Genomic DNA, 25,690 nt, shown 5'->3' with positions numbered 1-25,690 from the left:
TTTTAATTTCCAATTATACCAATTTAAATTGTGCCAATTAAATCATATATGATAAAAGAAAATCAAGTTTAAAGCATAACTGAAGGTAGGAGTCTTTAAATACTTTTTGCTCATGCAACTCCTAAAAAGTTTTGAAAAATCATGTAAATTGGCATTTAAGAAGTATAAAGACTGCAAAAGATTTATTTTCTAACATATGGTAAATACTTCCATTTTAAAATAAAATTGCTATAACATTCTACTAAGTTTATACAATTAGATAAAATGCCATAGCAATTTATATCTACCATCATCCATTTCATAAAATCCACATAAAAAATGCCTCTAACACTCCAAAATTGTATAGATTTTCTTCCTCGACAGTGTATTTCTGTCATGTGACAATCCTGCACTTGTACCTCCTAAATCTATAAAAATAAAAAAATAAAAATAAAATAATACAATGTTTTTGAAAAAGAAATTGTATTTCTATTACAGTTATGCTTCATAATTTTATTCTAATATATTTAATGGTTCAGAGTCTGCTATTGGTCACCTCTCATATGCCTCTATAACAAAAATAACTTTATAAATTAAAATTATTTTTATTTCTTATGACCATAAGACTAAGAGTTTTTTTAAATTTTGAGTTGCATCATTGTTATGATTATTGCTAATATACAATTAATCAAAACATAAATATTACAAATATTGGAAAGTAATCACCAAACATAAAAGGTTTAAAAAATCAGAAATGGTGTGGTCTCAGTAGAAGAGCAAGATGGTTCCTTGATAAAAAATGCTTCCCCAAAAATCAATATTTTGAACTGTCTCTTTGTTCAATGCCCTGAAATTTTTATACCTGAGAGCAATGAACTAAGAAAGATTTACAAGTAGAGATAGGCCTTCTTTTTGCAGAGTAGAAAGGAGGCAATTATGAAAGGATAGCTGGGAAAGGAGAAACAGTTTAATCTAAGGCAGATAAATGTCAGGGAAGAGTACATAGTGAAGTTGAAGATCTGGACATGTAGTTACTAAAACTAACATGGCTGCCTATCCCTTAGAAAGTCTTCAAATACCCCATGTACACGAGTTTGTAAACCATGACGTTAATGATTTTTTTCACTGCAAATTAAAGATGCTAACTCTTTGGACCCAAATCTCTTGAGAGTACAGCAAAACCAAAGCTGTCCTAAGCAAATAATAAAGAGTTCAAAATTAAAACTATATGTAAAAACTCCACAAGTGTAAGTGAGCTATTAATGTTGGTTAAGTTATTCCTAGAAGTCAACATTAAGGTTGACTGACTATATTAGAATACCCCAGAAAAACATCTATAATATAACAATAGTTTAAAAAACAGAAAAAAAAAACCAGAAAAAGTTTCAAGAAGCAGACAGTAACTGTTGGGGGAAAGGAGAGGATAGATGGTTGATTTCCAAAAGAGTCCACATGCTGTGGAAAATATATTTAAAAACAAGAGGAAACAAAGGGCACCAAGAAGAAATGTTAGCAAAGTAGGAGAACCAAGAAAGTAGAGGGTCCTGGAGTCTAGGAAAGGAGGGAGATGTCTATATGGAAAGCTTTTCATGGCTCTTTTCACTCAAGAGAAGTGAAGGAGGTACTGGAAAAGTATATTGGCTTGGCCATTAATAAAATCCTTTTTTATATATTTTTTCCAAATTAAAAACAAAGCACCTTCTGTTTAAACTGCTTGCCTATTATGAACTGAGAGTACAGAGAAGTAATGCCTCTTTTTTCTCAATTCTTTTCAAACCTAATTGTCCATTTCACCAGAAATGCAAATCTACCCAATAATAAAGACACTTGCAAAGATAAAGATACAAAAACATTTATCACAGTGTGATTTATTAAAATAATAATAATAATAATAGAAGCAACTTAAGTATCCCACAACAGGAAATTCATAAACTACAGTACAGCCATGTCTTCATTCAATTAGATGTCAAAAGTGGATTATCAACATGACATAGTGCCCCTGGTAAACTGCTGGCTGAAAAAAACAAGTTGCAAAAGAATGTGTACGGCATGATTCCTTTCTCATTATACATACACCGTGGTTAACCCTGTGGTTTATAGTGATTTTTAACCTTCTTTTCTTCCCCTTACAGGTTTCAGAAAATGATACCCCAAAATGAAGATCTCAGAAGCAGCTCTCTCTGACCTTAGCTTACCCTCTTGTCTCTGACCCTTCCATCTTCCAAGAGGCTAGCCACAGAAACTAGAATCCCATGGAAACCAGAACCCTTTTCCCCAAAGCCAGCAATAAAATCTAAAAATATTACTCTAACCCTCCCCACCACCTTTCTGTGTAAAAACTGGCCATAAAGAAACTACCTGACCTACGTTATTGACTGTAGGCCATGAGACCTCTATTCCAGAGAGGGTCCTGACCCAGACCCAGAAGGAGGGAATGCATGCTTAGAGAGACCAAGAAGAATTTAACTGGACAGGCCTTGCTGCGTTTCCCCACTCAGTCTATTAGCGTCAAATCATGCCCATTTTGTCCAGTCATATTTCTACATGGCCGCCCATACTTTCTTGAAGCTAAGCATACAGACTGTTTCTCCTGTATCTCTGGATCTTCATCTGAAGGATTCCATACCATGTAAAACTATGATCAAATAAATTTGTATGCACCTATTAATCTCCTTTTTGTCAGTGATTTTCGGCAAACCTTCAGAGAGCAGAGAGAAAGTTTTCCCTTACCTCCTACACCCCATAATTTCTGACTTTCCTGTCATATACATAGAATACTTGAGTCACACTTTAAATGAAATATACTCAGTTTATGAATTTGATCCTTAATCATTTTTCTATAATTAAAATTAATTTTATTTTGCTCTTCACCCTATACCTTACATGAAAACTTTATTTTCACAAGACATCTAAAATTATTGTCTTCTCTTTTAAAGACATTTGGCAAAGTGATCATTCTTTCATAAGAACTGACATTTATGTTTTTTCTATTCACTCACTTAAATTTCGTTTTACAGGGAAACTTGGAAGTTTACTATAGCTGTTCTTATTTTACAATATAAAGCCAAAACTCTTCTACATGGAAAACCTAATATAATTCCAAGGATATCTTATGTACTCTTATTGCCAAGAATGATTATCGCCCCTCCTTCCCCAAAGCATAATCCAGGAATTAACAACTATTCTTGTCACACCAACTAAATATATGGCTGGTGGTAACTACACAATCCATAAACACACACCAGGAAAACAATACTGCATGAATCTAAAAAAAAAAAAAAAATCTGAGCAGATGGACTAAACAGCTTCCTGTAGGTTCTCAAAGAAAATAATAGCAGCATTATAAGAATTTAGACTTAACATACTACAACGTGCATGAACCTTGAAAACATTATGCTATGTGAAATAAGCCAGTCACAAAATACCACATACTGTATGATTCCATTTACATAAAATGTCCAAAACAGTCAAATTTATAGAAACTAAAAGTAGATTATTGGTTGTGTAGGGCTCGGGTAAAGAGAGATGAAGGATTGGGAAGGCAGTAGCTAAGGAATGCAGAGTTCCTTTTGGGGATGATGAAAATGTCCCAAACTTATTTGTGGTGATGATTGTACAACTCTGTGGAAAAACAATTGAAATGCACGATTAAAATGGCTGAACTGTATTATATATAAATTTTATCTCAATAAAGCTATTTACCAAAAGTGCTTGCATTTAGCATGGTTCTACTTGACAGATGTTTTGGAATCAGAGAAATCTAGGTCAAACTTTGCCCATGCCACTAAGTAGCTATGTGACCCTCAGTCTCCACATCTGTAACATGAAAGGTAATACTAATAACAACCTTACAAAGTTACTGTGAAGATGTTTATAAAAAGACTTGGCACAGTATTTGGCAATGGGTAAGCACTAAAATGTCTTCTCTTGGCATCAGTATTAAGATTACATTCTGTTACATTAACTCTTTAGCTTAGGGTAATTTTCCAGTGATGAACTGGACATTGGACCACCATCCATTTTCAGCACTAGGCTGGATACGTATCATTAGAATTAAACTTACATGGCAATCACTCTACTTTCTACATTAATCAACACCATTTCCAGAGTTTAACAAGCCTTGCTACATAGGGTGCTCATTTGGCATCTGATTCATCCAACACAGCCAAGTGTACAATCATGAAACTCCCATAATATTGTTTGAAGAAGGCTCCCAGGCCTAATATTAGAATTAAAGAGATTTTAAAAGCTGTCATTTCTCCTTCACTCTCTTTAATCCTCACAATTACGTAGTGGGCTTTTGGCTGCTAAAACAGTTTGGGGCTGGAGCTGACAAAGTCCAGTGAGAGGGAAAGAGGAGCAACCAGATGTTGGCTGTTTCCATCTAGGTTGGCTCTGGTTTTAAGCTTTAAGAAAGAGAAAAGGACATTCGGAAGTTCCCTTTGATTCTGTGCAGCCTAATCTCCAGGAGGTGAAAAAGGCAAAACTGGGCAAAAACTTCACACAGAAATAAAGAGTACACATTTCTCCACAGTGATTTCTTAGTTTCAGCCCTCAGAAACCTAAGTGTAGCCACAGATGAATGGACAGGGCACACGAGGCTGAGGAAGTGCTCTCCAACATAATGACTGAAACAGACATACTCTAGCCTGGAATCCCTGAGAAATGTGCCTAAATGTCTAACTTGAGTCTAGAAGATATCTGAGCACTCCTCCTTGCAACTCCGCAAGTCCATACTAATAGAAAGTAAATGTAAATTTCTAGTACAAAACCTCATAATAAACATTTGAGATTTCCTTCTATTTTCACATTTATTTCAATGCATCATATAGTTTATCCTCAGATAACTGCAACCAAATCATCAATAATGCTTATTATGTTAGCATTTGCACACAGTTCACATTTACTACATAAATGAAAGAATCAGAAATTTAGTTACAATGGTCAACAATGTTTTCCAAAACAAATATGAAGACACATATAAAAAAAACTTATATCCTATGCAGAAAAGCTTATAGAGAAAGCAGCACTCCCGTATAATACAGGTAGGAGTCCATATGGGAGAAATCTTTATAAATGGTAATTATACATCCTTGGACCGGCAGCCCCATTTCTAAAAATTTATTATAAAGAAATAATCAGAGATATGTGCTACAGTTTAGCTCTAAAGCTGATCACTGTAGCACTGTAGATGACAGTAAAAAATTGGAAACAATCTAATAAAATATCCATCAATAAAGGACTAGTAAATGGACAATACATGGCATGTACAATGATATACCACGTGTCATATATATATATATATATATATATCGAGGAAAAGATGCATAAAATATATCAAGAGGAGAAGAATCAGGTTCTACTAAATATGTTCAGTACAATCTCATTTCTAAAAATACCCATAGACATACAGAGATGTTCAGAAAAATGCATGAAATTATATATGGCAAATTATTATCAGAGTTATATCTGGATAGTGACATATGGGTAAATTTTTGCTTCTAATTCTGCTAATCCATATTTTCTGATTTTTGAGCATCAAATGTGTCTCATGCATTAAAAATACTTTAAAAACCAATATGCATATTCTAATAAGTAGAAACTGATTGAGTCAGTGAGGGAGGGATTGTGAAATTAGACATTTCCTGGACAACTCAAAATGTCTCATAAAGAAGCAGACACTGAAGTCTCATAATAAACTCTGCCCTCTATTAAGGACTAGGACTAGAGATTACGAAAGAAATCGGAAAGGGATTATGCCCCCAAAGTAGCTCACAGAAATACAAACATGAAAATAAACATTTACAGTAAGTCAAGTTGTCAAATATAGAAGGAAGCATGAAATAAAAAGAGAAGGACACAAACCTAAGGGATAGGAAAATTTCACGAAAGAGAAACAAAAATCACTCAATAAACCCATCACATTAACTTCATTATTAACTTAACAATTAGAAAATATCTCACTAATAATACTAATTTTACTGATATTCTCAGATTAGTTTAAATCCTCTAAATACCCAAAGTGACTTCGATCTCTGCTTTGTAGATTTCATCACAACTGCAAATAGGTAAGTGTACCATCAATGGTTAGATGAGGCCGGGTACAGTGGCTCACACCTGTAATCCCAGCACTTTGGGAGGCCGAGGCAGGCAGATCACCTGAGGTCAGGAGTTTGAGACCAGCCTGGCCAACATAGTGAAACCCTGTGTCTACTAAAAATACAAAAATTAGCCATGTGTGGTGGCACATGCCTGTAGTCCCAGCTACTCGGGAGGCTGAGGCAGGAGAATCGCTTAAACTTGGGAGGCAGAGGTTGCAGTGAGCCGAGATCACACCACTGCATTCCAGCCTGAGTGACACAGTGAGACTCTGTCTCAACAAAAAAAAAAAAAAAAAAAAAAAAAAGGAAATTTCCTGAGGGTTAGAACCATGTCTGCCCTTTATCTCATTACAGCTCTAACATCTAAAAGTGCCTTATGCACAGTAGGAACACAAATTTTAGGTGGAGAAATAAACATGAATGATTAAATAAAAATAAAAATGGTCAGTTGGCTAAATGGCCATCTGGGTGGTTTCTACTTTAGGGCCATTATGAATAATGCTATGAATATTCATACATAGGTTTTAGTGTATAGTTTACATAGTTGCACTTTTCTTGGGTACATTCCTAGAAATGGGCTTTTTGGGTCATATAGTAACTCTATGTTTAACTTTTCAAGGAACTGGAGTTGGCTTAGAAAGCAAGTTCACTTGCCTGGCCCAAGGTTGTCTTTCATTTCTAACTTAGAATCATAACTTAGAATCAAACCCTCTTTTAATATTGCTCTGTAACTGCTGACTCTAAACCCTAACCAGTCCTAAGTGGTTCTTAAATTTTCCATGGCTAAATACTGTCTCTCCAACTCTAAGCCACTATTCTTCAATCCCTTATTTATTAAGTGGCAGCCACTACTAGTAGCACACTAGAATATATGCGTATTTCATTACATGCTGTATACATGAACTATAGAGAAGGAAAATCTAAGGAAAATCCTAGAGGAGGTAGAAAGAAAGATCAAAATACAAAGATTTTTAAAGAGATAATAACAGAGAACTTCCCAAACCTAGAGAAAGATATCAATATTCAAGTACACAAAGGTTATGGAACACCAAGCAGCTTTAATCAAAATAAGACTACCTCAAGACATTTAAGAATCAAACTCCTAAAGGTTAAGGATTTTTAAAGGATCCTAAAAGCAACAAGAGAAAAGAAACAAATAACATATAAAATCGTTCCAATAAGTCTAGCAGCAGACTCTCTGTGGAAACATTACAGGCTAGGAGAGAGTGGCATGACATATTTAAAGTGCTGAAGCAAAAAAATTTCTATCCTTGAACAGTATATTCAGTAAAAATATCCTTCAAATACGAAAGAGAAAATACTTTCCCAGACAAACAAAATCAGAGGGATTTCATCAACATCAAACCTGTCCCACAAGAAATGCTAAAGGAGTTATTCAATCTGAAAGAAAAGGATGTTAGAGAGCATTTGGAAATCATCTGAAGACACAAAATTCACTGTTAATAGTAAGTACAGAAACAAATACAGAACATTATAATATTGTAATTCTGGTATGTACACTACTCATATCTTGAGTAGAAAAACTAAAAAATAAAGCTATCAAAAATAATACCAACATCTTTTTAACACATAGTATATAAGATATAAATAGAAACAACAAAAAGATAAAAAGCATAAAGGATGAAGTTAAAGTGTAGAGTTTTTATTAGATTTGTTTGTTTTTACAGAGTTAGGTTCTCATCAGTTTAAAATAATGGGTTGTAAGATGTTATTTGCGAGCTTCATGATAACCTCAAATCAATAACCCACAGGAGATATATAAAAAATAAAAAGTAAAAATTTAAAATATATTACCAGAGAAAATCACTTTCACAAAGAAGAAGACAGGAAGGATGTATGGTAGAGAAGACCACAAAACAACCAGAAAACAATGAATAAAATGGCAGTAATAAGCCCTTACTTATCAATAATCACATTGAATATAAGTGGCCTAAACTCTGCAATCAAAAGACAGTGGCTGAATAGACTGAAGAAACAACATTCAACTGTTTGCTGTCTACAAGAAACATACTTAACCTATAGAGTCAGACATAGACTGAAATAAAGGGGATGGAAAAGATAGTACATGCCAATGGAAACCAAAAAAGAGCAGGAGCAATGACAAAACATTTCAAGACAAAGTCTGTAAAAAGGATAAGGTCAGGATATAATGATAAAGGGGTTAATGCAGCATGAGGATAAAAAAACTATACATATATATGTACCCAACACTGGCATACCCAGATATAAAGGCAGATATTATTAAAGCTAAAGTGAGAAACAGACCCCAAGACAATAATAGCTGCAGACATCAACACCCCACCTTCAGCATTAGACCAATTATCCAGACAGAAAGTCAACAAAAAAAGTAATAAGCAGTACAGAACAAATAGACCTAATAGACACTTACACTGCATTTCATCCAACAGCTGCAGAAATACACATTCTTCTCCTAAGCACAGAGATCATTTTCATGGATAGACCAAAGGTTAGGCCACAAATAGTATTGTAAAATTGAAAAAAAAAATCATGTAAAGTATCTTTTCTGACCACAATGGAATAAAACTAGAAATCAATAACAAGAATAACTTTGGAAACTATACAAACACATAGAAATTAAACAATATGCTCGTAAATGACCAGTGGGGTCAATAAAGAAACTAAGAAGGAAATTTTTAAATTTCTTGAAACAAATAAAAATGGGAAAACAAGATACCAAAACCTATGGGATACAGCAAAAGCACTACTAAGATAGAAGTCAATAGTAGTAAGCACCTACATCAATAAAGTAGAAAAACATCAAATAAACAGGTTAATGACACACATCAAAGAACTAGAAAAGCAAGAGCAAATCAAACCCAAAATTAGAAGAAAAGAAATAACAAAGATGAAAGGGGAAATAAATAAAATTGAAGTCAAGAAAACAATACAAAAGATGAAAATGAAAAGTTGTTTTATTGAAAAGATAAACAAAACTGACAAATCTTTAGCCAGACTAATTAAAAAAAGAAAAAGAAGGCCCAAATAAAATCAGGGATGAATAAGGAGATATTACAACTAATACTGCAGAAATTCAAAGTATCAGTAGAGGCTACCAATGAGCAACTATATGACAATAAATTGAAAAACTTAGATGAAACTAATAAATTCTTAGACACATACCAACAAGACCAAACTAGGAAGAAATCCAAAACCTGAATGGACCCATAAAAAGTAAGGAGAGCAATGCCAAAATAAAGTCTTCCATCAAAAAAAAAAGCCCAGAAACTGATGGCTTCACTGATGTAAATGGCCTAAACTCTGCAATCAAAAGACATTTATAGAAGAACTAAACATTTATAGAAGAACTAAAATCAATCCTACTTAAACTATTACAAAAAATAGGGGACACAGAAGTACTTTCAAACTCATTCTACAAGGCCAGTATCACACTGATACCAAAATCAGAAAAGATAAACAATTTTCTTAAAAAAAGAAAATTACAGGCCAATATCCCTGATGAACACTGATGCAAAAATCCTCAGTAAAATAATAGCAAACCAAATTCAACAACATATTAAAAAGATCATTCATCCTAAGTGGTATTTATTCCAGGAATGCACAGATGGTTCAACATATGCAATTCAATATGACATATCGTATCAATAGAATAAAGCACCAAAATCATATAATCATTTCAGTTGATGCTGGAAAAGTATTCAGTACAATTCAACATTAACATCCCTTCATGATAAAAACTCTAAAAAAACTGGGTATAGAAGGAACATACATCAACATAATAAAAGCCACGTAAGACAGACCCACAGCTAGTATTACATTAAATGAGGGAAAGCTGAAATTCTTCCCTCTACAATCTAGAACAAGACTAAGGATGCCCATTTTCACTAGTGTTATTCAACATAGAACTGAAGTCCTAGCTAGAGCAATTAGACAAGAGAAAGAAAGGGCATCCAAATTGAAGAAGTCAAATTACCTTATTTTGCAGTTGATATAATCTTATATTGGAAAAAAACCTAAAGACTTCAAATTCAGGAAAGTTAAAGAATTAAAAAAAAAAACATTAAAAAATCAGTGGCATTTCTACAGGCAAACAGTAAATAATATGAAAAAAACAAAGTAATTCCACTTAAAATACTTATAATAATAAAATAAAATACCTAAGTATAAACTTAACCAAAGAAGTAAAAGATCTCTACATAAAATAAAATAAAATAAAATAAAATGATATACCTCTACATAAAATAAAATACCTAAATATAAACTTAACCAAAGAAGTAAAAGAGATCTACAATGAATGCTATAAAACATTGATGAGAGAAACTGAAGAGGACACACACAAAAATAAATAGAAAGATATTCCATGTTCATAAATTGGAAGAATCAATATTGTTAAAATGTCCACATTATTTAAAGAAATCTATAAATTTATTGCAATCCCTATCAAAATAACAAAGACATTCTTCACATAAACAGGAAATATAATCCTAAAATTTATATGGAACCATGAAAGACCCAGAATAGCCAAAACCATCCCGAGCAAAAACAACAAAACTGGAGGAATCACATTACTGACTTCAAATAACATTACAAAGCTATAGTAACCAAAACAGCATGCTACTGGCATAAAAACAGACACATAGACCAACGGAACAGAATAGAGTAGCCAGACATAAATCCATACATCTAGAGTGAACTAATTTTTGACAAAGATGCCAAGAACATACACTGGGGAAAGGATAGTCACCTCAATAAATAGTGCTGAGAAAGCTGGATAATCATATGCAGAAAAATGAAACTTGACCCTTATCTCTTAGCATATAAAAAAGTCAAATCAGGGCCAGGTATGGAATGTTCATAACACAAAGAAATGATAAATGCTTGAAGTGATGGATACCTCCATTAACCTTGATGTGATTATTAGACATCGTATGCCTGTGTCAAAATATCTCGTGTACCCCTTAACTATATACACTTATGTACCCATAAACATTAAAAATAAAAAAAAATTAAGTGATTGCATAGTTCAAAAAAAAGGGAAAGTAATTTTTGTGTGGAGTTGTGCTTAAGCATAACCATAAAGAATACAGAAATTCAGGCTGGTTGCAGTGGCTCACACCTGTAATCTCAGCACTTTGAGAGGCCTAAGCGGGCAAGACACTTGAGCTCAGGAGTTTGAAACCAGCCTGGGCAACATGGCAAACCCAGTCTCTACAAAAAATACAAAAACAATTAGTCAGGCACGGGTCTGCACACCTGTAGTCCCAGCTACTTGGAAGGGTGAAGCAGAAGGATAGCTTGAGCCTGGGAGGCAGAGGTTGCAGTGAGCCAAGATTGTGCCACTGCACTCCAGCTTGGGCAACAGCAGTAAACCTAGTCTCAAAAAAAAAAAAAAAAAGAAAGAAAGAAATTCCATAAAGCCAAGGTTAACAGTGCCTCACATAAACCTTATAACAATCCACACCTGGAATAAGCATGGCTAACAAAATGATGGAAACACACATACTCACAAACACACACACACACCCCTATATAGGCACACAACATAAATTCATATAACTGGTATGCATAAACTCCTAGGGAATGCTGTATTCTAACAGAGAGATGGTGCTACAACCAATCTTTATTGTGGAACTCTCCATTCTTCCTTCAGAATACCTGGCTACTGTACATAACACATGATCCTCTGGTGTAAGTGCAAGTAAGGAAACCACCAATCCATACGTTAAATATTAGTAAAGCTTAATTTATCTTTTAAAGATAAAAGATAAATAAGAAATACTCTAATATTTTCTTTCCATACCCCATGGGCAGGCTTATACATAAATCACTTTAGATACTGGTGTTCTTAAGAATGGTCCCAAACTTCACTAAACATCAAAGTCATGGGGAACTCAAATAATAAACAGTCTAAGCTTTATCTCTAGAGATTTGGATTCAGTAGCCTAAGCTATCTATAAACTTTGGAGATCCTACTCTACATAGTAGAAGTCACTGCCAATCACTTTTCTATGAAGTCCATAACATGGATAGAGTACCTGAGCCAAACAAGTGGAATAGAAGGAAATGCACTCCTATTGAGGTTACAAGTGTAGCATAAATGAAATAAGGTCAATGACATCACTTTGTTTGACCTGTTATTCTACCATTTCAGATCAAAGTCATATGACCTCGTAAATTGTTTAAGCAAGTAAATTGCTCAAATGACAATTTACATAAGTAGAGGCAGTGTGCCATGGCTCTGAAGCAAAAAGAATGTTCTCCCCCAGAGAACATCTTACTCATTACTGCTGAATTTAGAACCTAAGGCATAATACATTCCACCAGGCTATTGTGAAAAGAAATAAGCCCAGCTTTTAATAAAGCTCAAAATTAAAAAAAAAAAGACCTATGTGGTATAATGTCATCTAAATCACAAAAGATAACTAATGTATACTCAAAACATGAAAAAGGCTTTAGAATGACCTCCAACTAATAGTACAGACCACAAACTCTAAGAAATCCTATTCCTTCAACTATAACGTTTCTAAACTTAAAAATAAACACCTTTAAAAGAAAAGGTATACATTGCATTGTTTAAATACAATTTCTGGGCTTATATGCATGCTAGTGAGGCTTTCTGATAAATTATATAACTATGAAAAGACTTACCAGTCTCGCTGTCTTAATTCCAAATTTCCTTTAAGCAAGTTAACTTCTTTCATTAACAATTTCAGTATATGTTATTTTATTCATATAATCAAGGTTAAGTCTAATTTGGTATCACTAGAGTTTTTAGAAATGAGTCTCTTAGTTATTTTATCCTACGCATGGAGAAGGTGGGATGGTCTTGTTCTTATGGACATGTTTACATAGCACAGAAACGAGTTTAAGCCCAACAAATAACACCATTGTTTATAAAAGTTTAATTCTAGATCATTTGAGAGTACATGCTGAATAAAATACTTTTAAAAACAGATATAATAATTCTTGTACAAACATAATGCTTCCAATCAGATTTCAAATTCCAAAACCTTTTCAAAACATTAACGTCATTTTGTCTACTGCCCTACTTCAGTGACTCTGTCTCTACACTCCCTGTCCCCATTTACCAACCCCCCTCCCAAAAAAAAACCCTACCCATTATATAAGCTTAAACCAGTATATTTTATTCACTGGAATGGTAGAACAGCACACAATTACCATCATTTTAGTCATGTCATTATTTCCAGCTCAGTGGCATTTATTCAGATGAGCACAATTTGCAACCACTGAGCCCAGCTCCTCTGATGTTAACTGGCATCATTAAAACCCTCCCAGTGTCCAGCTTGTTTGATCTTTTAAAGAATGCCCTCGGTTTGTGACTGAGAGCCGGAAACTCACGGCTGGACACCCTGAACAGCCTTCAGGTTTGGTCACAGACTACTCATGTCAGCTAATAATCCTCAGAGACCATGATTTTGATTCAAGTGAGAGAACTTTTCATACAAAAAGCCTTGAGACACAAAATAAACCCCCAAAATGGATAAAAATAAAGCACGGGGGCAATGGAGATCCTAAATGTAGTAACTTCGAAAGTTGAGATTGTAAATTTTCAGAGTAAAGTGTCTTAAATGATGATAACAAATCTGGGAATACTAAAGGGCAGAGAGCAGAGAAAAGGGGACTGGAGGATAGAAGCAAAAATTTTAAGTGGTAAAATATTAAGGCCTCCATTTAAAATTTTCCCATTATAAGTTGGGATATAGCATTCAACTTTCCATGATCTCCAAATTTTTCTTAATAAAACAATCAATTAAAGAGCAGTCAACATAATTGTTTTCTTTTTAAGCAACAAACCTTTCATTTTTTAATTCCCTACCCGTTTCATATATGACTTATGTGTACTGAATGGTATTCTATTAAAAAAAATAACACAGTCAGTTAAAATTTCATTTTGATAATGAAAAACCATACTTAAAAATCTACTTGCAGGGTGACAAAGTGAATGTTAATAAAAGGTAAGTTCCTGCTGTCCTTTTAAAGTTAAAAATAAGGCCAAACTACAACTTTCGACTGCAAAGAGTCATTGTGTAGTATATAAAAAGCTCAGCATGGAAATAGATTCAACAAATGTACAAAAAGAGTTTTCATGCCCAGGAAGAACTGAAGGCATCAAAAAAACATGCCCCAACTACAAATAACATAGAGCGCTGTTCAAAAAGACCAACAAATTCATTCTCTAATGCATAGCAAATTAAATTTAATAAACTCTTCTGCAAGGTTAGACAGGCAATCCACCTTTAAAAGTCCCACAAACAAAACATAAGAACAACAAAAGAGGTTCCAGAGTGTAATAAATACTGAATCCACAGTAGGCGACAGAAGCCTTACTGTACACAGCTGAGAAAACCTGCCATCAGACAATGGATCACATTTCCATATTAAATTATATTTACCACGCTAAAAAATGCTTAAACAAAATGCAGGATTTCTATTGGCCATTTTTATACCACACTAACTCCCTAAAACCTTGCAAACCTGCTGAGTCCCATTGAAAATCATTCCCACCCCATAGTGCTCCAAAGGAGCCCCTAGACAAAGGGTTAGGATGATGAGAGAGGGCAGGGACAACTATCTTCCACCATGATTTCAGAAAGTAAATAAATAAAAGGGGATAGAATAGCCAAAACATAACCTTGGCACAGGGTATTTCCGGGGAAATCACTGCTGTGACAAATGGCCTGAAATGAACTCTTCTAGCGGTCAAGAATCCCCAGGAAAGGCCGCCCCTCCTCCTTATCTATTGCTCAATCATACAATGCTTGGCTTTGAAAATATAGCACCCTCTTGGAGCTGGGCAAGATGAAAGAGCTTTTCTTCATGATCTTGCAACGCCTATTAATTTTTGCTACAACAGACTCACAGCTGATTAGGAAAACACAGGAGTGGCACTGCCTCACATTCCCATCTCAAGACTTTGGGAGACAAAATGTTAAAAGTTAATCTCTCTCTTTCAGAACAATGTATTGATTTTAATTTCGGCACATCCTGTATTTCTTCTCCAACCCTGGACAATTTGTTTAGACTGAACATTCTTTTTCTCCTTGAAACATCAGTAGCAATGTTACTTGATTCTTACCCAGTTAGAGAATTACCTTTCAGAAATATTATGACTCATTCACCACAACATGGAGCACAGGTTGAGAAATCAGTCAATGGCTGATAGTAAAATTTAAATTGTTCCTAAACTACACTCACACTTTTATCACAATTAATAAGGCAACATGATACAACTGCAAAACCATAAGAATTATAGTCAAATGAAAGAATATCTCCAAATCTCCATGTTACAACACATTTCCAAGTTAATTTGGGTATGTTACTTAGACTTTCTAAACCCATTAGTAAATATCACCTACATTACAAGATTATTATGAAGTTTAATACAGGACGTAATGCACACCAAACACCAAACATTGTACATGGCATGAAAAAAAGGTAGCTTTTATACTTTTGATTTACTGAAGTAGAATAACATACTGTAAAAAGAACAGATCTTAATTGTACAGTTTGATAAATTCTGACAAGTATGTAAATACAGGTATAAAGGTATAATTACCACCTCAATTAAAATAGAGACCAAGGAAATACAATGTGAGCCACATGTATCCTTTTAAATTTTCTAGTAACTACATCTGAAAAGTAAAAAAGGTAAAATTATTTTAAATATATTTTATTTGACACAATACATCCAAAAATTCTCACTTCAATATGAAATCAATTTTTAAAACATTATCAATAAGATATTTTACTTTTTCATACTAATGTTATATAGTTTGTATGTATAGCACATCACAATTGGGATTAGCCATAGTTCAAGTGATCACTAGCCATATGTGGCTAACAGCTATTATACTGGATGGTGCAAATATAAACCACAGTCCAGAAAATTTCCTCCTGTCCCTTTCTGGTCTATCTCCCTACTCCCACCCCAAGACTACCACTACTCTGATTTCTACACACATAGATTAGTTTTGCCTGTTCCTGAAGTTCATAAGGAAGGAATCGCGTGGTATGTGGCTTCTTTCACTGAACATGTTTTCAAGATATATCTGTGTTGTTGCAAGTAGCAGTGGTCCATTCCTTTTCACTGCTACTAGTATTCTATTATACAAATACACAACGATTTGTTTACCCATTGACCAGATAATGGTTATTCGAGTTGTTTTCTTTTCTTTTTTCCAACTTTTAAGTTCCAAGGTACATGTGTAGGATGTACAGGTTTGCTACGTAAGTAAACGTGTGCGATGCTTGCTCCACAGATCAACCCATCACCTAGGTATTAAGCCCAACACACATTAGCTATTCTTCTCAGATGCTCTCCCTCCCCCTCCCCCACAACAGACCCCAGTGTGTGTTGTTCCCCTCTGTGTGTCCATATGTTCTCATCGTTCAGCTCCCACTTATAAGTGACAACATGCGGTGTTTGGTTTTCTGTTCCCGTGTTAGTTTACTGAGGATAAGGGCATCCAGTTCCATCCATGTCCCTGCAATGGACATGATGTTGTTCTTTTTTATGACTGCACAGTATTCCTGAATAAAGAACATCAAGTTGTTTTTTTCAAATATGCTATCCTTAACAAAGCTGAAATGAACATTCCGTACAAGTCTTTTACCTGAACATGTTTTTGTTTACTTGGGTAAGTATCTAGAAGTGGAATTGCTGGATCATCAGGTAGAATTATGTTCATATTTATAAGAAACTGCATAATGCTTTTCCACAGTAGTTGTACATTTACAATATATGAGATATCCAGTTACTTCATATATTCTCCAATATTTAGTATTGTCAGTCTTTTTAATTTTAGTGATTCCAGTGGTGTGCACATTTCCCAATGACCAGTGATGCTGACATTTTTCTATGTGTTTACTAGTCAATCATATAACTTTTTTGAAGAGCAGTTTGTGAAGTTGAAGAGAGAGTTGTTACAGAGACAAATTGAGATCACATATGAAGTTACTTGCAATGCTAAAATAAAGGACACACTTCGAAGGACTACTTGGGTCAGGCAGATGATGTAAATCTATAAGCCTAGAGAAGTGCACCAAATTAGAAAGCACACTCATCTAAAGGAAGCTTCTAACTGCTACTTAGCACCAAGTGGTCGCTGCCATGTGAAAAAGCAAGCCAGGTACTGCGAGATCTTCCTGTCTTATCAAGAGAAAGTAGATATTAGTATGTTTATCTTTAGTTAATATTGGAATCAATTTGAAAAATATTAATCCTATAATAATCAAAGAAAATAAGCCATAAGTTTTCAAACTTTTATTTATATAAATGTTAGTGGCTTTTATACCAGGACAAACATCCTTATTATAATAAACATTAAACCATTCAGGACTGCTATTGGTAACTCTTGAAAAATGATACCTATTGCTCAACATCACTAATCATGAGGGAAATTCAAATTAAAACCACTATGAGATATCACCTCACACCCTTTAGGATGACTATTATCAGAAACATAAGAGATATAGAATGTTGATGGAAAAAGGGAACCCTATTACACTATTGGTGGGAATGCAGATTGGTACAGCTATTACAGAAAACAGTATAGAGGTTCTTAAAGAAACTAAAAATAAAACTACCATATGACCTAGCAATCCCTCTTCTGGGTATATACACAAAGTAGTATATGCAACTTTGTAAAGACATTTGCATTCCCACGTTTATTAGTCACTACCTCATAAAGATATCACAGCCTTACAAAGATATCTGCACTCTCATGTTTATTAAAGCATTATTCACAATAGCTCAAATATGGAAACAACCTAAGTGTCCACTGATGAATGGATAAAGAAAACGTAATACATATTAACAATGGAATATTATTCAGCCTTAAAAATGGAGGTCCTGTCATTTGCCACACCATGGATGAAACTAGAGGGCATTATGCTAAGTGAAATAAGCCAGACACAGAAAGATGGGAAGGGTAGTGGAGGACTGGTAGGGAGGCAGGGATGGTTAGTGGGTACAAAAAGAAAAAAGAGAATGAATAAGATTAAGAATTTTATAGCACAATTGAGTGACTACAGTCAATAATAACTCAATTGTACATTTTAAAATAACTTAAAGAGTGTAATTAGATTGTTTGTAACTCAAAGGATAAATACTCGAAAGGATGATTACTCCATTCTCCATGATGTACTTATTTCATGTTGCGTGCCTGTATCAAAACATCTCATGCACCCTCATAAATATATATACTTACTATATACCCACAAAAATTAAAAATTAAAAAAAAAGAATGAAGGTAACAGCTAAAATGCTTCAGTGGTAACATCTATCCAGGAGAATCTGACTTATTTGGGGAGAACAGAAGAAAAGTACATGTTGGAGAGAATGTAAAACAGAACTGCTACTCTGGAAAACAGTATGGCATTCCTCAAAACAGTTAAGCATAGAATTATCATATGATCCAGCAATTCCACTCTTAGATATACACCAAAAAAAGGATGAAACTCATACGTTGACATGAAAGCTTGTACATGAAGGCTCATAGCACCATTATTCATTATAGCCAAAAAAATGGAAAAAAGCCAAATGTTCATCAACTGATACAGCCATACAACACAGTATTACTCAACCCTAAAAAGACACTATAAAAAGTATTGATACATGTTGCCACAAGAATGAACCTTGAAAACATTATGCCAATTGAAAAACCAAACACAAAGGGCAATATATTGTATGACTCCATATGAAGTGTCCAGAATAGGTATATCTATGCAGACGGAAAGTAGATTGCTGGTTCCCTAAAGCAGGGAGGTATGGGAGGATTGGGGTTCAATGCTTAAGGGATGTGGGTTTCATTCTGAGGTAATGAAAATGTTCTAAAATTGATTTTAGTAAGCTTTTCAAAACTCTATTCAAAAAGTCACTAAATTATGCACTATAGATAGGTGAATTGTATATTTATGAATTATATCTCAATATCACAGAATGTATAAAGAAAAAAGAAACATACAGGTGAGCTATTGAGCCTCTTTCCTCCAGTTCCTAATCTGTCTCTCTGCAACCTGAGGATGCTGCTTAAGGTTTGAAATATTCTGTTGATGTGTCTTCTATCTCTCCCCCGAACATTTCTAAATTTTAAATACATTTAGTGTACTTAACACCATGTTTCCCCTACCAGACTGTGAGCTCCTAGAAGGCCAAAAATGTCTCATAAATCTTTATATGCAGAAAGCCTTGCACAGCCTGGCTCAAGTTTTCAATATTTTTATTTTAAGGTTAACACATTTTGTGTCCTACCTACAGAAATCTCTACCTCATGTTTGTTGTTGCAACAGACAGGGTTTGAAAGAGAAGCTGTGCCAATGTACTTTCCCTTGCTCTCCTCACCACCTCTTCCTACCGGAGAATGAATAAATGATAACTGGCCTGAACACTGCTGAAAGGCTGCCAACCATTCTATTTGAACATCTTTGGGAACAGACAATAACCTTTACGAGATTATGATATCAAGAGGATCCCTTGTATACTTAAACCACAAACCCAAATACCTCTAGAACAACACAATGACAACTTCATCTTCTTTTAAAAGAAAAGGCTGTCCATAAAAAAAACACAGAATAATTGCTTTAAAACTACGGATTTAAATAAGATCCCTAGTCAATAAAATGAATTTCAAAAACATCCTTTAAAGGTAGTCATAGGCCAGGCATGAGATTATCATGCCTATAATCTCAGTACTTTGGGAGGCCAAGGTGAGAGGACTGCTTGAGCCAAGGAGTTCAAGACAACCAGCCTGGTCAACATAGTGAGACTCTGTCTCTACAAAAAATTTAAGTTAGCCAAATATAGTGGCATGCACCTGTAGTCCCAGCTACTCAGGAGTCTAAGGTGGGAGGATCCCTTGCACCCAGAGATAAAGGCTGCTGTGGACCATGACCACACCACTGCACTCCAGCATGGCCGTCAGAGCAAGACCCCATCTCGATAAACAAATAAGAGAGAAAAATGGGAAGCAACTTAAATATTCAATCAAAAATGAATCATTGATTACTAATATTTTCATTCAACGGAAAGTAAGCCATTAAAATATGTCGCTACATCAAAAATCTTTCTAGCAAAATGTAAACGAATTAGAGAACACAGAAACTCTGTGAAATAATGAATAAAGAAAATACAATGAAAAGGGATATGAAAAAATGAAAACAGCTTTGTGAGAGACTAATAAGTGATACTACTTTTTTTCATTACCCAAAGTAAATGTGATGCTTTAAAAACCTAACATCTTTGGAAATGGGATAAAAACACTTCCACACACCTTTAATATAAAGTGTAATATGCAATCAGTAAAACACTAAAAATTAATATATTTTAGCTCAAAACATCTTTTTCATTAAGACCTTTAGGCAAAGTCTTAATAATGCAAAACATTATACATTAACCAATCGCAAAGGAAATGGAGAAGGACAGAAAAAAAGTCCAAGTATCATTCTCAAAAAAAGTTTTCTCCAATAACACAACATGACAAGGTAAAGTGAACACAAACACAACCACCAAAAACACATAATAACAGCAAGTGAATTTTATCTTAATAAAAACTGTATTAAGACAGACCTAGGTTTGAGTCCTGACTACTACATTTTAGTTGTATGAATTTGGGCAATTATTCAACTTTTGTCAACCTCTCAGAAGAAAACGGTACCTGTCACAATTGGGGTTTTCTTCTATTGTAAGAATTAAATGAGATAATAAATATAATGACTTTATTATATATATGCTGTTAACTATATAGAAAGTACTCAGTAAATCAAGAGATGCTTACTACTGCTGCTACAAATATTATTAAAACATTAGCAGTTTTCCAGCTGAAAGCATTATGCTAATTTCATATAAAAACAAAGAAAATGTTACATGTGAACAAAGTAGCAAAGAAGAGCATGATATATGTTCATCTGATCTCTCCTATGGTTTGATAAGCTCTCTTTGTAGTGAAAGGCCCACAAACCAAGCTCGTGCTTTCCAGTATCTCTTACTTAGAGGCATCAGGACAGAATTCTTTTATTCATCATTTACATTTTTTTATTGTTAAAAGCAATGAAGAAAATATTCAAAGGATCTGAATAGACATTTCTCCAGAAAGGTAACAGAAGTGGCCAAAAATAATAGGAAAAGATGCTCAATATTAGTCATCGGGGAAATGCAAATGAAAACTACATGGGATATCACTTCACACTCATTAGGATGGCTATAGTTTGAAAAAAAAACAGATAATAAAAAGTGTTGGTATTAACATCACTGATCATCAGAGAAATGCAAATCAAAACCACAAGTTTATACTATCTCATGCCAGTCAGGATGGCAATTATTAAAAGGTCAAGAAATAACAGATGCTGGTAAAGTTGTGGAGAAATAGGAACACTTTTACACTGTTGGTGGAAATGTAAATTAGTTCAACAATTATGGAAGGTGCAGTTTTTCCTCAAAGATCTAGATCTAGAAATACCATCTGACCCAGCAATTTCATTACTGGGTATATACCCAAAATAATATAAATCATTCTATTACAAAGACACATGCGCACGTATATTCATGGCAGCACTATTCACAATAGCAAAGACATGGAATCAATCCCAAATGCCCATCAATGATAGACCAGATCAAGAAAATGTGGTACATATACACCATGGAATACTATGCAGCCATAAAAAGGAATGAGAGCATGTCCTTTGCAGGAACATGGATGGAGCTGGAAGTCATTATCCTCGGCAAACTAACGCAGGAACAGAAAACCAAATACCGCATGTTCTCAATTATAAGTGGGATTTGAACAATGAGAACACATGGACACAGGGAGGGGAACAACACATACCAAGAACTGTCAGGGGAGGGGTTGCGGGGAGAGAGAGCATTAGGAAAAATAGCTAATGCCTGCTGGGATTAACACCTAGGTGATGGTTTGATAGGTGCAGCAAACCACCATGGCACACGTTTACCTATGTAACACACCTGCATATCCTGCACATGTACCCCAGAACTTAAAATAAAAATCAAAATTTTTAAAAATAAAATCACTTTCTTGGAAAAAAAAGTGTTGGTGAGGATGTGCAGAAATTAGAACCTTCTTACAATGCTGGTGCAAATGTAAAATTGCACAACCACTATGGAAAATAGTCTGGCAGTTCCTCAAATGGTTAAACAGTGAGTTACTATATGACCCACCAATCCCACTCCTAGAGATCTACCTACCAAAATGAAAATATGTATACACACAAAAACTTGTACACAAATGTTCATAGCAGCATTATTCAAAATAGCCAAAAATAGAAACAATCCCAATGTCCATCAATTTCTAAATATATATTCTATTGTTTATGTTTGAGATTTACAACACGATGTCATGGAATACAAAGAAAGAGTAAAATGACTGTGACAGTGGAGCAAACTAATATATCTATCATCTTACATAGTTACTTTTTTTGTGACAAGAATACTTAAAATCTACTTTTTCTCTCTTTTTTTTTTTTTTCTTGAGACAGAGTCTTGCTCTTTCATCCAGGCTGGAATGCAGTGGCGCAATCATGGCTCACTGCAGCCTCAATCTTCCTACCTCAGCCTCCTGAGTGCTGGGACAACAGGTGTGTGCCACCATGCCCAGCTAATTTTTCATATTTTTATAGAGACAAGATTTGCCATGATTCCCAGGCTAGCCTCAAACTCTTGGTTTCAAGCCATCTGCCCACCTTGGCCTCCCAAAGTGCTGGGATTACAGGTGTGAACCAACACGCCCAGCCAAAATCTACTTATTTAATAAAAATCTTTAACAAAATAAAATTTTATTAACCTTGGGCCTCATGTTTTACATTCGATATCTAAACCTGTTCATACATACCTTCCATTTTGTATCCTTTAACGTACATCTCCTATTTCCTCTTCCCTCTCACTGCTGTGGTAAACACTGTTTTATTCTATATCTCTGTGTATCGGAGCTCTTTCTTTATTTTTAGATTCCACATACAGGAGAGATTATGTAATATTTTTCTTTCCGTGTCTGTCTTATTTCACTTATCAGAATGGCATCTAGGTTCATCTACACTGTCCCAAATGGCAGGATCTCCTTTTTTAAGGGGGAATAATATTCCATGGTGTGTATACATACATACATACACACAAACACACACACACACACACGCCACAATTTTCTTTATCCATTTGTCTGTTAGTGGCAAATGTCCATCATTTGATAAGTGGATAAATAAAATGTGGTAGAGCCAAACAGAATAATATTCAACAATAAAAAGAAATACAGTACTGACATGCTGTAACATGGATGAACCTTGAAAATATGTTGAGTGAAAGAAGCTACTTACAAAAGACAACACATCATATGATTTTGTTTATAAGAAATGTCCAGAATAAGTAAATCCACAGAGACAGAAAGTAGACTCATGGTTGCCTAGGGCTAGGAGAAATGTGGAATATGGAGATTAGGGGGTGACATCTAAACGGTATGGAGTTTTGTGGGGAGTTAAAAGTGTCCTAAAATTGATTGTGATGATGGTGGCATAACTCTCTGAATATACTTAAACTCATTAAATTATATACATTAAATGAATGAATTGTATGCTTTGTGAATTATATCTCAATAAAATTGCTTTTTAAAAAAGATTATTTCTTATTGGAGCCATTATTCTGTATTAAGACAGAAAGAAGTAAGAAAATTAAGGCAAATGATGGTGGCTGGGATAAAAAGTGATGAGAAAGCTCAATGGAAAAGATATGAAAAAGAGAATGCAGGAACATTAATTATTTTCCTTTGAAAATGACAAACTCATAGCGTAATGATAAATAAAACTACTACTTTCAATGCCCACATTTTTCAAAGGAAACAAGCCCGGGAGTAACCAAAGAGCATGAGACTTGGGAAGAGTCTTGAGACTACTTTTGTGAGCCATGTATTAAATTGCCAGAGGCTCTGTTTCTTCAATATAAAATGAAGTCCTACAACCCCTATATCATAAAATGTCCAAATTCACACTAGGTACTTATATTAATTAGGGTTCTCTAGAGGGACAGAAGAGGAAAGATGTATGTATGAAGGGAAGTTTATTAACGAGTCTTGACTCACACGATCACAAGGTGAAGCCCCACAATAGGCCATATGCAAACTAAGGAGCAAGGAAGCCAGTCTGAGTCCCAAAACCTCAAAAGTAGGGAAGCCGACAGTGTAGCCTTCATCCGTGGCCAAAAGACTGAGGGCCCCTGGAAAACCACTGGTTTAAGTCCAAGAGCTCAAAAGCTGAAGAACTTGGAGTCTGATGTTCGAGGGCAGGAAGCATCCAGCATGGGAGAAAGATGAAGACTGGAAGACTCAGCAAGTCAAGTCCTTCCAACTTCTTCTGCCGGCTTTACTCTAGTCATGCTGGCAGCTGAATAAATGCTACACTCCCAGTTTGAGGGTGGGCCTGCCTCTCCCAGTCCACTGACTCAAATGTTAATCTCTTTTGGCAAAACCCTCAGAGATGCACCCAAGAACAATACTCTGCATCCTTCAATCCAATCAAGTTGACACTCAATATTAACAATTACAGAACCCAAGAAATAGTAGCTGTAATTTTTTAAAAGCAATTCAGCCCTAAAAACAAACTTGTAAATTCCCAAATCAATACATCAACAGCATTAAGGAAGGGACAAATTTCTCTTTACCAATTCCAGACAGCCAGACTAAATTCTTGCCTTTATGGTCAGCCAAGATTCCTACAACCTTCCCTCTCTGTTGTTTGTTCAGCAAAGTAGCACTAAAGAAACCCATATTGAAAACACAATCTTTACCTTGAAAGAGTTGGAAGGTAGACAGAATCCACTCTTTTAATCTTTGATTGATGTCTAGGATAAATAATTAAGCAGCAATAATTCTAAACTTAATCTGATGCAAGCAAAGACAAAAGAATTTCATGATTATAACTTTCAAGATGAAAGAGTTCATTTTCAAACCTAAGGGTGAAAAAAGCACTACTTATTTTACAAAGGCAAAGTTGGGAAAGCCCTACAAAATCCAATTCTGGGTACTTTTCCAACTAAGGTATTTTCTTAAAGATAGAGTTATTCAATTTATTCTCTTATCTTTATTAATTTGTTTTATTTTACCAAATTAGGCTGTCTTTCTATATACCTAATTATATTTGATAGTCAAGGATCTAAACAGTAACAGATAGACAAATCATTACCAAATGCCACCAGGAAATGGATTTATAACTATGCTGAATGTTTTCCTTCTTGAAACCTTGACTACATCACGCTTCACACATGATATCAATTAGAAAACAAAATAACTGGCTTCACAGAATGCGAGCTGACCTCTGTGAATAGCACTCTGGACACAAAACAAAAGATGAGCCCCCAGTTAGTAAATGTGGCCTGGCAAGAGCTGGTGAATACCAAGTATACTTTATGACTGTAACACACATCACAGGACATAGCAGCAGCTTCACAAATAATGAACACACACACACACACACACACACACACACACACACACGCAAAGCTTGAAAAGCCTTAAACAAAACAGAAAGATATATTACTACCATCATCAAGCCTCAAAGGAAAATAGATTACATCTACTTATTTAAACACACAGCTA

The 25,690-nt window shown here is 34.7% G+C and overlaps 1 protein-coding gene across 19 annotated transcripts in view; it reads right to left on the bottom strand.

Annotated features, from left to right (window-relative positions):
• The window catches only part of FOCAD (focadhesin), a 340,326-nt gene that overhangs the window by 145,216 nt on the left and 169,420 nt on the right, over positions 1–25,690 (bottom strand). The window lies entirely within an intron of this gene.

This window comes from Homo sapiens, chromosome 9 (assembly GCF_000001405.40).
Source record: "Homo sapiens chromosome 9, GRCh38.p14 Primary Assembly".
Classification (NCBI taxonomy): domain Eukaryota; kingdom Metazoa; phylum Chordata; class Mammalia; order Primates; family Hominidae; genus Homo; species Homo sapiens.
This window is presented reverse-complemented; position numbering and strand designations above follow the sequence as displayed.